The sequence below is a fragment of the Homo sapiens genome, chromosome 3 (genome assembly GCF_000001405.40).
Source record: "Homo sapiens chromosome 3, GRCh38.p14 Primary Assembly".
NCBI lineage: Eukaryota > Metazoa > Chordata > Mammalia > Primates > Hominidae > Homo > Homo sapiens.
Genome location: NC_000003.12, coordinates 148,738,241 through 148,751,010, shown reverse-complemented (window position 1 = coordinate 148,751,010; position 12,770 = coordinate 148,738,241). Strand labels below are relative to the sequence as shown.

At 38.7% G+C, this 12,770-nt stretch overlaps 1 protein-coding gene across 7 annotated transcripts in view; it reads right to left on the bottom strand.

Moving 5' to 3' along the window:
- AGTR1 (angiotensin II receptor type 1) overlaps nt 8,008-12,770 on the bottom strand; it is a 45,101-nt gene continuing 40,338 nt past the window's right edge. For 6 of the 7 annotated variants that reach the window (NM_001382737.1, NM_001382736.1, NM_031850.4 and 3 more), the window contains one exon: nt 8,008-10,022. In NM_001382737.1, the coding sequence (NP_001369666.1) occupies nt 8,896-9,975 (1,080 nt within the window). In that variant the 5' untranslated portion in view covers nt 9,976-10,022 and the 3' untranslated portion in view covers nt 8,008-8,895. Of the gene's footprint in view, nt 10,023-11,054; nt 11,212-12,770 lie in introns of all 7 variants that reach the window. The other variant, NM_032049.4, reaches the window with a different exon arrangement.

Sequence of the window (12,770 nt, the reverse complement as noted above, 5' to 3'; positions counted from 1 at the left end):
AGCACAATTTACTGCAGCATTCACATGGTGCTCTTCCCTTCCTCATCTACCCCAGGGACCTCAGCCTTGGCACAATTGATATTTTGTACCAGATAGTTCTTTGTTGTGTGGGACTGTTCTGTGCATTGCAGGATGTTTGGCAGCATCCCTGGCCTCTACCTACTAAGTGCCAGTGGCACTCTCCTCTTTCAAGTTGCGACAACCAAAAGTGATTCCAGACATGGCCAAATGTCCCCTGGGGATTTGGCCAATCACACTTGGTTGGTTTTCCATTTTTGGGGTTTTTTTTTTTTTTTTTTTTTTTTTGAGACTGAGTCTTGGTCTGTCGCCCAGGCTGGAGTGCAGTGGCACAGTCTTGGCTAACTGCAACCTCCATCTAACAGGTTCAAGTGATTCTCCTGCCTCAGCCTCATGAGTAGCTGGGATTACAGGCGTGAGCCACCACTCCTGGCCCACACTTGGTTGGAAAACACTGATCTATGTCTATGCCCAGCTTTCCTATCATGATAGGCTACATAGCTACTTTCTGATTCATCTTGGCTGCTGGAACTTCCATCATGTTATGATCATTTCCTCAGCCTTTAGCCTAATTGCTTTTTTTTTTTTTTTAACGTTTTGGGTGTAATTGCTCCTTTCTACTTGTTCTGCAGCCAGAAGCAAAAGGTGAAGCAGTAAGCATATTTTATCTTTTCTGTTGCAACTCTCTCCTTACCTCTCAAGGTCTTAAATAGCATCCATGTTGAGGTAGTTTTCAATGATGCTGCTACAACTGTCCTTAGGACTCATGGTATGATCATAACATCTTTATCCTCTGGGTCTCTGTGCACAGTTGAAATAAGTCATACTTTTAATTATTCCAGTTCTATTCTTCACCAAAATCTGTTGCCAAACCTGTACTGCACACCTTAAAAGGAAATTTTTCTCAGAATATAATGTAGTTTCTTTAAAACATATATATTTTAAAGAACATCATTCTGTTAGGCTGTAAGAAGTTAAAACTTTGATATGAAAATAAATTTAGGAATTTCCTTTCCCCTCCCATTTAGTAAGTGCTATCTAAATTCCTGGCTGCAGAAAGGACCAGAGCATTTAACTAATTACTATGACAGTTAACAGTTGTAGCCTGTTTATTTGCTAGACCCAATATAAGCTCATCCAAAATCACATTACAATAAATGTAAAATCCAGTGTTATGCTTTTTAAGGTCAATTAGTGCTTTCCATTAGTGAGCCCAATTTTCAAGGACAAAGACTATTAAAATTCTATCTTGAAATCCAGTGAGATCGGTTTCAGACAAAGTAAAATATTACTGTATTGATTTTGAATAAATAGGCTTGGATAATATATTGGAAAGTACCTACATGACTCATATTTTGTAATGCCATTTTTGGGGGGTCAGGGGAGAGGTGAGGAGCAGAGGAAAGCAACATAGCTTAGCAAATAAGAGCACAGATTCTGGAGTCAGAATGCCTGATTTCAAATGTCAACACCAACATTTACCAGTCATGTTACATTGGACTGATTATGTAAAATCTGTGTTTTTTTTTTTTGTCTCATAGGATAATAACAGAAATAGCATGACTGGGTGTTGTGAGGATTAAATAATATAATGCATATAAGCAGAGAATTCTATGCCTGTCCTATAATCAGAACTCAATAAATGATAACTATAATAATTTTGCAGAAGATTAAATTCTCGTGGATAATTTTGACAGAAAACCCATCCCCAACTGCTTAAGATAGGGAGATCTGGAGGACAGTGCAAATTTCTAGCACAAAAAGTCAACTCTCCAATGATGTCATAAGGACTTGATTCATTTCCATTCTTTGTCCAGTCTTTCACTATGTTGGCTCCATACTTATGGTATAAGTACACACTGTGACAACTTCTGGAAACACCACCTCTCCTTTGGAGTGACAAATGGCTACAACAACTCCTCACATCCACTATAGAGTGGGAAAGAACAAGCTTTTTGTCTGATAGCTCCTGGCAAAACCAGGAAATTCACCATAATTGTGTTCATTTAGGTTATGTGCCCAACTCATTGCAGCCAGAGGAATGTGATGGATTGATTTGCTGAAGTCTTCTCACATCCATGGTCCAAATCATATAGTTGGCAATAATGAGAGTTGAGCCCCTATACAAATTCTGCAGCAAGAGTGGGCATGCAAATTGTAATAGGGGACTATTTCTTGAAGAAGGTGGAAAAGATAGGGAGACTCAAGAAATAGCTATAAAGGTGATATCATCAGTGGAAAGGTATTTTTTTTTTCCTCCTACCATCCACTTACTACAAGAATTACTGAGAATAATGATTGCTTATTTGAAGAATTGCCTATATAGCCTCTACTTAGTTTTGTGTGCATTGAGTACTGCTTAGAAACTTCTCTGTAACAGCAATGGCCAGAAGAAAGCCACCAGTCAGGACGAATCCGCATCTGTGGGTTCTTGTGTCACATGGCGCTGGCTGATTCTCAGCAGATCTGCTGTGGCATCTGCAGACATGATGCTCTCCTCTCTGTGGTGAGCTCTAGGAGGCTTATCTCTGTTGAGTAACACCAGCTGCTTTCTATCTGCCATTTTGGAGAATTGAAGCTTATTTTTGGAAAATTATCATTTAGCAACTGTACATGTCCATATGGCACAGCAGAACTTCATCAAGCTTGGGAAAAAGTTCCATGAGATAAATCCCAACTCACTGGGAGGTTGAGCCAGGATCCCTATTTCTCATCTTGTTCAATTTTTCTAAAGAATCTTTATAGGACGTGGAATGAATCAAGAACTGGGCTCAGGGGCATATTTGGCTCATCATCATTTGGATACTTGAAGCAAAATAATCATAATAGCAAACTGGCTTTTAATAGTTTTAAAATTAACATCATTTTTTCATCAAATTTACGTCTCTTGTGCATATAGATAAATATTTTCCTATTACACTGCTTGAAGGGTAAATCTCATGGTCTTTAAACTCTTAAAGGATTATTATACAAAGCTTCCTAGTATAGGAATGATTTAGAATTAAATATTACTAAAGCTAACTTCTCTTATTCTCAGCTTCTGGAAAAAAAAAACAGTCTGATTTCTAATTCTGGCTCTTCCTGATTGCTGAAATGCATCTTTTCAACTTCAGTTATATAATTTCTCATGTAAGTTGTGTTAGCTTGGTAAATGAAGGCCTTTTCCATTGGATTTCGGCAGGTTTGGATGCTGTGCTCACTGGCTCTATGATACCCAGAGAACTCCCAGGTCACTGTCAAGTAAAGAGAGCCCAGGCAACATGCAAGCCATGCATTTGGGCCCTCAAGTGGTGAGGAGCACTAATTTCCTCTCTCTGCTTATGATTTCATGGTCTAAATCATATTTTTTATAATTGCTCATGCAACAGAAGTGTATTTTACCCCTGTGCCATCTCAGGGAGAGACTTCAGTTTACAATAATTTGCAATAGTAGATAGTGTAGTAGCCTCAGCCCCCTCTCACTATTGGTACGTCTATATCTCCACACCTCTTCCCCCTTAACACACACTATTGAATGTCCTGGCTGTTACCATCTCACAAGGAGACATATGGAAGTGGGGTAGCACTTGTGACCCCTTATTAAGATAGGGACCAATAAGTTTTGGGATGTAGACGGTATCACTTCTGCTGGGTGGCCAATGGATGATGTGCTGGACACTACAAAAGGGAAATTCTTATTGATCATAAGCGGGAAGAAACACTTGCAGATCTTAGCTATAGATCACTGTATTCTGGTCCCTTGATTAGAGAGGAGTGGGCAGGGATTTAGCTGGACATAAGACGCAGGTAGAATCAAGGACTCAAGCACCTTCAGGGCTCTCTTGCCTTTTCTGTTTACTTCACTCTGTTGCAGACTAGCTTCTTCCACGTGGTGAGAGATGTGGCTGGTGTTGAGCTTACGTCTCAGAAATGCCAACACTGGGGCCAGCTCTTCATCAGCGCCTGTTTGAAAAATCCTCATGAAAAACTGTGATTGGTCCACTTCAAGCCTGGACCAATTAACTGTGGCCTGGGGATGGAGTTAGGTAGGAAAATGGTTCATTCTGAGGTGGTGCTGTCCCTGAGTGGGGCAGAACTATTCCTGCGATGAGGGGAGAATGGACACTGTTCAGATGGTTCCATGAGTGTTCACTACACAAGTAGACAAGACTGGATATAGTTACAGATGTCATATGTTAACTGACTCAGTCAAGATTTTGAATTTGGAAAATTTGACTCTCTGATTAGCTCCAATATACAGTCATACAGCCTGAACTATATAAAATCCATATGGTTAAGGGCTTGCCCCATACCATTCTGTCTACTGTTTATGACTTGCTTCCCACCCTAATATTTGGGTTCCCTCTTCCTCTGGTTGGTCTGGGTCCAGTGGATCCAACATGGTCCTGGGGCCCTGACTGTATGTATCTCTCCTGTGAGGTCTGAACCCTGGCCTTGGGGGCAGTGTGTGACTGCTTCCAGCCTCCTGTCCACTCAGTCTCTCTGTATCTCTCTTACTCTTGATTTACTTTCTTTACCCTCAGATATCTCACTCTTCATACCAAGTATCCGAAATTCCTTGAAACTTGTTTTCTTCATTCACACTTTTGTGACCTGCTTCAATCTATTTTCTCTTCTTGGGCTTCCTAGATTGGCACATATTGTTGGAAAAAAATGCACCAGTATACAGAGTTATGAAACTGAAAAACCTGTGGTATCAAAACTCTGAGAGCCTTTCTGTGATTTGCAATCAAGCTGCTTCTCACTTGGCTCTCCTTCACACTGCTCACAGCAGCTGAGCAACAAGTTTATCCTACATGCTAAGCTGCTATATGTTACACAGCACTTGTTACCCAGCACAGAGTAGGGAAACAATACAACACTTATTAAATCCATGAATGAGTGAATTATTAACTAAATAGAAGCCTTCACGCTGGGCGCGGTGGCTCACGCCTATAATCCCGGCACTTTGGGAGGCCGAGGCAGATGGATCACCTGAGGTCAGGAGTTCGAGACCAGCCTGGCCAATATGATGAAACCCTCTCTACTAAAAATACAAAAAGTTAGCTGGGTGTGGTGGCAGGCACCTGTAATCCCAGCTACATGGGAGGCTGAAGCAGGAGAATTGCTTGAACCCAGGAGGTGGAGGTTGCAGTGAGCCTAGATCATGCCATTGCACTCCAGCCTGGGCAACAAGAGTGAAACTCCATCTCAAAAATAAAATAAAATAAAATAAAATATAAAATATAAAAGCCTTCTTTCACCAAGCCAACTCACCATACTTGAAAAATGATGTAACTGATGTCCAAAAAGATGAATTTCCACAATGAGAAAGAGCCAGCATTAGAAATGACTAGCCTTTTTTTCCCCAAAAGCTTAGAATGAGGTAAATTTTAATATTGTGTATATTGAAATTTACACCTCAGAAATGGGTGTAAATGGGTGTATATTGAAATATATATTTCAATATAAATGTAGCTTTTGCATTCTGTTGGGCACCTAGATCTCTATGGTAAATATTCTTTTCTGTATGTATTTTTTAAATGTACCAAAAATAAGGAGTCTACCTAACCTGTAAATATTTTCATGAAGAATACATAATGGCATCCTATCCTAACATTTTGGTAAGTAGGGTCTCAACTCCAAGATTATGTTGATCTCACTGAAAAAGAAAGAATAATCATCAAGGTTAGTAACATCTATTTCACAAGTGAGATGGGGTAAAATCCCAATATAATTTGATGAATGGAACATGTTATTAACACCATTAATAAATACATGATATAGGGGATATCTAAATACAATTATCTATCAGAAATCTTGCCAACTATAACCTATGAAATAGTTCAGCAAGTTTAAAATGCTTACAATCACTTGGATTAAAATGACTATTGAGTAGGGCATGGTGGCTCACACCTGTAATCCCAGCATTTTGGGAGGCTGAGGCGGGCAGATCACCTGAAGTCAGGAGTTTAAGACCAGCCTGGCCAACCTAGTGAAAACCCATCTCTACTAAAAATACAAAATTAGCCAGGTGTGGTGATGCGTGCCTGTAATCCCAGTTACTTGGGAGGCTGAGGCAGGAAAATCGCTTGAACCTGGGAGGCGGAGGTTGCAGTGGACTGAGATCACACTACTGCACTCCAGACTGGGCAACAGAACGAGACTCTGTCTCAAAAAACAAAACAAAACAAAACAGAACAGAACAGAACAGAACAAAACAACAACAAAAACAAACACACACAAAAAATCCTCAACTACTGAAAAAAAAAAAAAACAGTTATAAAGCTGACCTGGAGGCCTGGAGGGATTTTATATAGGATATTTATGCTATCACTTGGGATAAGGTAAAATTTATTTTTTTGAGGTGATCCTTTGTGAAAATAGTAGAAGACCTTTGGGGTGAGTGGCTGGCATTACATTAATGAAATTAAAAATAATATAAAAATAATATAAATATTATAAGGCATATGGAACCATATTTGTTCACAAAAACTTTATATTTGGGAATGTGAAGGTAATATAGTCTGCTTTGTGGAAATTCTGCCCAGTGGCCAAGGCCTCTCTCTGAGATGACACCCCCTTGCCCACAGCAACCATCAATTATTTTACGCATAACTCCAACCCTTTGGCCACAGTTTATTTGACCAGAATGAGCACTTCGGTCTGCCCTGTATGAACTTCAGAAGCACTGAAATCCTTTAAATAGAAGAATGAAGCAACTGTCCGATGGGAGCAGAAATGTTAAAAGTACAATTTTCAGGCACAGTTGCATCCTGGCCCTTGCATGTGGCAGCTGGATCCTTACGGTAAATCTTTCTTTTCTGCTTAAATTTAGGCTGGGTGTGGTGGCTCATGCCTGTAATTCCAGCATTTTAGGAGGCCAAGGTGGGAAGAACACTTGAGGCCAGGAGTTTTGAGACCAGCTTAGGGAGTATAGTGAGACCTCCATCTCTGTAAAAAAGTAAAAAATATTAGCCAAGAGTGGTGGAGCAGGCCTGTAGTCCCAGCTATTCAGGAGGCTGAGGTGGGAGGATTGCCTGAATCTAGCAGTGGGAGGTTGCAGTGAGCCGAGATCACACCACTGCACTCCAGCCTGGGGGACAGAGTGAGACCCTGTCTGAAAAAAAAAAAATTTAGTAAATACCCCATTCTGAGGTTATGGTGATATATATTCATACCTAGTTGGTGGTATTGTAAATTGTTATGTTTTCTGGGAAATATTTGATAACAGGTAGTTAGACTATTAAAAAATGTTCATACGTGTATTTCAGTTGCACCACTTCTAGGAGTATGGGAAATTTCTCAGATTCACATACTTGAATGCTCATCTCAGTGTAATTTATGATACTAAAAAAATCAGAAAAAGCTCAATTTTCCAATTTGGTGACTAGTTAACTATATCAGCGTATGTCCATATTTTGTAGTATTATACAAATATTAAAATGTTTTAGAAAAATATTTAATTGGGTAGGAAACTACTATGCTATGACATTAAGTGAAAGATCTGTATACAAAGTACTATACACATCATGACTTCAGTATCAGGATTGACACATATATGTGTGTATAATGAATGAAAAAAGTAGAAAATAAAGTTCCCAAATGTTAAAATAATGATTTTTGACCGGGGAAGCTAAACATGACTTTTATTTTTATGTTATTCTATATCTTCTAACTTTCCTACAATGATAATGTATACAATTAGAAAAATTCTGTTATTAAATTACTTGTAAAATAATGTATTATTCTAGCATTATAGCAAGAGTTAATTTTTTTCTTTGTTATGTGAAAAACTGAAAAATTCAAAACGATGTGTTTATTCCATGACATGCAGTAGAACAAAATGTTTTTTCTTTAACTTTTCAATGTCAGGATAAAAAATCTATAACCAATAGTATTAAACTATCAGTTGTATCAAAATTTAAATAAAAATATATTCATACTCATTCAAGGTAGTCTTATTTTAAAATAAATTAGCATCTATTTTAAGTAATGAAGATAAATACATTGCAATAAAATTATTTTATTTTAAAGTAAATATAACTTTGCCAGATTTTAATCAATTAACAGCAGTTTAGAGATATAGATATACATATACATATATGTGTAGAATATATACTTTTTTTAAACAGGAAGGCATACTTTATGATATATAATCTTTTTACCACAAACTATATACACTTCTCAGATATTAAATCAAACTAATATACTAGGAAGACACTACTACTTGGGACCAGTGCAGCACCTTTACAAGTAGTTTAACTTTTATATGTGACTTTAGTAACACCATTATACAAATAAGCCATCTTACGGGCATTGTTTTGGCAGTGGAAACCTATAAGACACAGGTTGAATTTCACAAAAAGATCTGCAACTTGACGACTACTGCTTAGCATATCTTTGTACAAAATGTGCAGTACCAGGTGCAAGTGTAGCACAGTTGCTAATAGCTGAAAACCGGCACGAAAACTTTACTGCCCTTTGGAAACTGGACAGAACAATCTGGAACTCTCATCTCCTGTTGCTCCTCTAACGATTTAATATATTCTAAATACCTTTATGTGGAAATAAAAAATAACAGGACAAAAGCAGGCTAGGGAGATTGCATTTCTGTCAGTAAAATTTCTCAAATCAACACATTCATCGAGTTTCTGACATTGTTCTTCGAGCAGCCGTCATCTGTCTAATGCAAAATGTGGCTTTGCTTTGTCTTGTTGCAAAAGGAAAGAAAAGCTTTTGTTCAGAGCTTTAGAAAAGTCGGTTCAGTCCACATAATGCATTTTCTCCTTCAATTCTGAAAAGTAGCTAATGCTCATTTGGTAGTGAAGTGCTGCAGAGGAATGTTCTCTTGCTCCTTCTTTCACAAAATTACTTTATGGACAGGTTTCGAACATGTCACTCAACCTCAAAACATGGTGCAGGCTTCTTGGTGGATGAGCTTACATTATCTGAGGGGCGGTAGGAAAGCGTGCTCATTTTTGTTGAAAGGTTTGAGTGGGATTTGGCTTTTGGGGGAATATATTTTAGAAGCTGGAGAAAATATCTTTTAAATTTTTTCCCCAGAAAGCCATAAAAAAGAGGATTCAGGCAATTGTTAAAATAAGCTATACAAATGGTGATAGGCATGGCCGTGTCCACAATATCTGCAATTCTACAGTCACGTATGATGCCTAGTTGAATCAATACATCCAGAAAAGTGAATATTTGGTGGGGAATCCAGGAAAAGAAAAAGAAAAGCACAATTGCCATAATTATCTTAAAAATATCATCATTTCTTGGTTTGTTCTTCTGAATTTCATAAGCCTTCTTTAGGGCCTTCCAAATAAGAGTATAACTTGTAAGAATGATCAGAAAAGGAAACAGGAAACCCAGTATATTTTTGGTCAGGCCCAGCCCTATCGGGAGGGTTGAATTTTGGGACTCATAATGGAAAGCACAAACTGTAATATTGGTGTTCTCAATGAAAAATACATTTCGATGGATTATAGCTGGCAAACTGGCCAAGCCTGCCAGCAGCCAAATGATGATGCAGGTGACTTTGGCTACAAGCATTGTGCGTCGAAGGCGGGACTTCATTGGGTGAACAATAGCCAGGTATCGATCAATGCTGAGACACGTGAGTAGAAACACACTAGCGTACAGGTTGAAACTGACGCTGGCTGAAGCAATCTTACATAGGTAATTGCCAAAGGGCCAGCGGTATTCCATAGCTGTGTAGACAGCCCATAGTGGCAAAGTCAGTAAAAAGCATAAGTCAGCCAGTGCTAAATTCAAAAGAAAAACACTGGCCACAGTCTTCAGCTTCATATAAAAGTAAATGACTATCACCACCAAGCTGTTTCCAAATATTCCCACCACAAAGATGATACTGTATAAAGTAGGAATCATGACAAATATGTAATTATGCCTTCCAGCTTTGGGACAATCATCTTGGATTCTTTTAATACCATCTTCAGTAGAAGAGTTGAGAATCATTTTGATCACCTGGGTCGAATTTGTTGCAAACACTATATCAAATACACCTGGGGAAAATAAAAATAAAATGGTAAAGAAAAAATTCTTATTGTAAACAAACAAACTAACAAACATTCATTTCTCAGTCATAAACGTAGTAACTCAACTTTAGTCTTAGGAAAAAATACTGGATCATATTTCTTAAGGAAACACTGTGAACTGATAAAGCCTAAGAAAGCACACTTAAATTTTAGAACATAATTGCTTTTGTAGAAAATGGTATCATCCAGAGAAGTGAAATTGGGATTCTATGTGAATAAACCTATCTAGGTCCTTTTCCTTTTTTTCTATAAGTAAATCTTGGTTTCCAAATTGATTAAAAACATAACCTAAATCTTAGAAAATACTACTGAATTAAATTAGTTTTTCAGAAAGACTTGAAAGTTTTTCCTGAGGTAAGCAGGACCAATTCATTTATCATTAACCTCAGAAGTGTGACACATTCATATTCTTTAAACCATTTCTTTCCTCTCACAATCTTTACTTAGGTATAAAGATTATAAGTATTCTCCCTTAAGTGGTCAGGATAGCTGCCTTTAGGTGACTGACAAATTGGTCACTGTGGCAATTGATTTAAGAGGCGTAGGAGGTAGGGCTCGACTTTGAGGAATAGGATTTTTTCCATGGTTTTCCAGGCCTCTGCAGTCAGTAACTACTTACTCTTTAACTTCCAATTCAGTCTAGCAAAAGTGCATGAATCTTCTAACCTTCATACCTGCCAGCCATTTCTGAAGTTAACTCTGTGGTTAACCATTTGTGTAACAAAGATGTCAAATGAATAGGTTTGGCTAGGATTATCAAGAAAGCATGTCTTTACTGAGGGCTTGAGAAAGCAGCAGGTTTTTTAGAATTCTGGGGAGAATCAGATGCTCAAGAATGGGCTGCACAAAGCCATGCAAATATTTGCTCTGATTTTCTACATAATCAACAGTCAAGCTATTCATTTATGTGATTTAGAAAATCAACACATTCTGCCCTGGATAACAGTCCATCAGGAAGTCCCAGGAAGGAGGCTGAAGGTTCAGTGAGAGTGACATCACCGAATGTGGTACAGCCACACTCTGAGGTGAAGGTCAGCATTGGGCACAGGCCAGGACAGCTAGGTGGGCAGTGGTGCTGGGCACACAGATCCTATTGCTCTACCAGGAGCAGGTCCCCAGATGAACATGGCTGAGCATTCTCTTGCAATGGCATGCCCTGGGGAAAAAGAGGAGCAGAAATAAGACACCACTGCCATGCCAAGCATGGTTGTGCTTGGCATTCAGGAGAGCTGAACACATGTTCTTAGAGTAGTGTTCACTTTGGTGCAAAGGGATGCTGTGCAAGGGATACAACTCCAGTAGTCAGCTTTTAAGACATAACACATGTGAAGGAGTTCTTAAGTGGTCTCTTTGCCTTCCCTGAGTAAGTAAAGTTGTTCTCCCTATGTAAGTTTTTGGTTGCATGTCCTCATTATTGTTCCTTTTTGCATCCAGCTTATATAATGTACATCCTTTTCTTCTTTGACTCACCAGGACATTAGTATCCACAAACAGGTGTTATCTACCCTAAATGTCACATCTTTGGTGAAGCCTTCCCAACTTTTTTGAGCACTTTGACATTTTGGATGTAGGTTTGACACTTTTTTTTTTTTTTTCTGAGACAGAGTGTCACTGTATTGCCCAGGCTGGAGTGCAGTGGTGCGATCTTGGCTCACTGCGATCTCTACCTCCCAGGTTCAAGTGATTCTCATGCCTCAGCTTCCCTAGTAGCTGGGACTACCAGTGTGTACCATCATGCCCAGCTAATTTTTTTATTTTTAGTAGAGACGGGGTTTTGCCATGTTGGCCAGGCTGCTCTTGAACTCCTGACTTCGGGTGATCCACCCGCCTTGGCCTCCCAAAATGTTGGAATTACAGGCGTGAGCCACCGCACCCGGCCTTGAAACTTTATTGTAATCATCTGTTGACATATCTGTCTTCTCCACTGGTCTGTCAGTTGCTTGTGGGGAGAGCCTGTTTAAAGTTTACTAGTGTTTACTTGTTTCCTTGTTTTCTGGTGTAGGCCCTGGTATGTTCCAGGAGGCAGATGATAAATGTCTCATGAATGAGTGACTGAATGGACAAATGAATGGGTGAGCAGCATAGAACTTACAGCCATGAATATAGTGTATCGAGACTAATTTCTGTGAAATCACATGTTGCTCCTTGCAGAGTTTCACAGAGAATACTCAGTGTCAACTTGGGCCTCACCTTGGACAAAAAAACAGAAACAAAAACAAAACGAAATAAACAGGTAGAAAATTCCTTGGTGCTTTTAGAAACTTGTGGTTTAGAAAACAGAAGATGAAAAGAAGAAATAATGTAACAGAAACTAGGGCTAGGCTTTTAGGGAGGTATGACTAGTTCTTCCTCACCCAGAGGATTTCCCTATACCTTGTAGATTTTCCAGTTCATCTTACTATTTTTTCTGAACTTATGCCAACTTAGAAGTATAAATTCATTTATATAGACACATATTCTTTATTAAAAATTAATTAGTCATTAAAGGGTTAGGGCTAGCAGTCATTTGTGGCTTAATGTGGATTAATTTACCTATTTACTATCCTTTTAACCATCTAGTAGAGATCAGCTGGATTTTGCTTAGAAAAAGAATTAATAATGTAAAGGTTAAGGAACCTCGAAGGTTGAAAAGGGCCTGAGTGAACTCCATAACTGAAAATGAGGGCAGAGGTAAATATTTGGTTCAGCTTGGGAATAAGGGCAGTAAAAAATAGA